This window comes from Homo sapiens, chromosome 2 (genome assembly GCF_000001405.40).
Source record: "Homo sapiens chromosome 2, GRCh38.p14 Primary Assembly".
Classification (NCBI taxonomy): Eukaryota; Metazoa; Chordata; class Mammalia; order Primates; family Hominidae; genus Homo; species Homo sapiens.
This window is the reverse complement of record NC_000002.12, coordinates 185915046-185917256: the sequence shown is the minus strand read 5'-3', so window position 1 is coordinate 185917256 and position 2211 is coordinate 185915046. Positions and strand designations below refer to the sequence as shown.

The 2211-nt window shown below is 37.6% G+C and overlaps 1 annotated feature.

Annotated features, from left to right (window-relative positions):
* Positions 403 to 504: a silencer, noted in NCBI's record as "fragment chr2:186781480-186781581 (GRCh37/hg19 assembly coordinates)". NCBI's record gives its function as "represses an EF-1alpha promoter that drives an FKBP-Casp9 reporter gene in an ReSE screen in phorbol 12-myristate 13-acetate-treated (for megakaryocytic differentiation) K562 erythroleukemia cells {active_cell/tissue: K562(+PMA)}" and the evidence as "EXISTENCE:reporter gene assay evidence [ECO:0000049][PMID:32094911]".

Genomic DNA, 2211 nt, shown 5'->3' with positions numbered 1-2211 from the left:
TATGAGTGACTGAGGCTGGCTTACACAATCTCAAGAGGTCCTTAGAAAGTGTGCCTGAAGTGTTTGTGTTATAATTTGGTTTTATACATTTCAAAGAAATAGGAATTGCAGGTACAACCATAAATCAATACATGGAAAGTATACATTGGTTTGGCCTGAAAAGGTGGGACAACTAAAAGTGGGGGCTTACAAGTCATAAGTGGGTTTTAGGAATTCTTTAGCTGACAGTTGGTTGAGTGTTAAGCTACTGTCTAAAGACGAAATCAGTAGAAAGAAGTACCTGAGGCTGGGCCTGGTGGTTCATGCCTGTAATCCCAGCACTTTGGGAGGCCAGTGTGAGAGGACCACTTGAACCCAGGAGTTTCAGACCAGCCTGGGCAACATAGGGAGACCCTATCTCTACAGAAAATTTAAAAAATTAGTCATGGTGGTACATGCCTGTGGTACATGCCACTACTTGGGAGGCTGAAGTGGGAGGATTACTTGAGCCTGAGAGGTTGAAGCTGCAGTTAGCCACGATTATGCTACTGGACTCCACCCTGGGCAACAGAGCAAGACCCTGTCTCAAAAAAAAAAAAAAAAGATTGCCTGAGTTAAGGGAATTTTGGAGCTCAAGGTTCTTGTTATGTAGGTGGGGCTTCATAGGTAGCAGCCCTCCGAAAGAATAGATGGTAAATGTTTCTTTTAAGATTTTGAAGGTATCAGGCTCTCAGTTAATCTCTCTTAGATCCAGGAAAGGCCCAGGAGAGAAAAGATGTAGCTACATTAATATAGATGCTCTACAGATGCACATTCCCCCGACAAAAGACAGCTTTGCAGGACCATTTCAATCTGTTGGCCCTGTGGCAGCCATTTTCAAACATGTCAAAAATATATTTTGGGGAAATTATTTTTATTTCCTTCAGGGTCTGCTGTCACGTGATACTAAATAAGAGTGAGGCTGGAAAATAAGACACATCATAAAAGGTTAGTGAAAATCTGTCTAATGAGATTTTATGGTTTGTAGGGTGTGACTCCCAGGCCCCTTATATAGGAATTTGGGCAAGAGAAAAAGAAAAAAGTCAGAATTTAGTCCTCAAATTATAATTTTAACAGATTCTTAAATGTTATGTGTGGGTTAGTATTTCAGTCTGACTTGGGGCTCCAGACATAGGAAAAGTTCATAATCACTTGGCAAATTCTTTTCAGTGTTGTCACTGGGGGCTCATAAGAAAGAATAGGGAGCCTTGCTCAGTGGTTGGCGCTGGAATACGAGAGGAGCTGCTTGAGGCAAGCACAAATTATTGCATTCTTTCCCAGACTTTTGATAGGTTGTATATTTCAAGTAATCTGTCCATTTCATTTACATTATAAAATTTACTGGAATCATTTCTTCATAATATTTAACTATCATCCTTTAATTTCTATAAGTATCTGTAGTAAGATTCTCTCAACTGTTGTTTGTATTGATAACATTGCTATTTGTGTCTGGTCCCTTTTTTCCTTGATCAGTCTGACTAGGAGTTTGTCTATTTTAATAATGATTCAGAGTGATAAATTTAACATTTTAAAAGTTATACCTTAATAAGGGTTATGATTCTGCCTGAGATAACTTTGGGAGTAAATATTAACATAAAAGAGATAAGATCTGAGATAAACATTTTAGCAGTTAGGCATCAGATTGATGAAAAGGCATCAGAAAAATGGACTAAACAGCAGTGGTTGGTGATGGGGAAGAATACTAAGGGACTGATGTTCTGAGGGAAAGAATGTGCAAGGAGGAGGAAGACATCAACTATGTCCAAACATGCTGATAGATGGAAAAGAGGATATTGATTGCTGGACTTTTCTACAAGGAGATACTGGCGTATCTAATGGATTTGACACCAAGAGCAGATTATTTCTTGACATTTCCCTCCTGTATACAACAAAATCATTTTTAGTTATTACCATGAAAATAAAACCCAAATACTGATAATAGCCTGAAAAGAAACATTAACAATGAAATTTTCTTTTATTGAACTTCATATATATAATCACATTAGTGAAAGATTTTTATCATAAATACACACAAAATACTTCTGTAAATCAGGACTATACTTGAAAAATTGAGAATGTATAATAACCTTAGATACAGGGCACATGTGGAGTGTTTGGCCTTAGATAAGACCCAAAGTAGGTTAATCGTAGTAAAAGGAGGAAAGGCAGATTATATAGGAACAAATCTGAGTC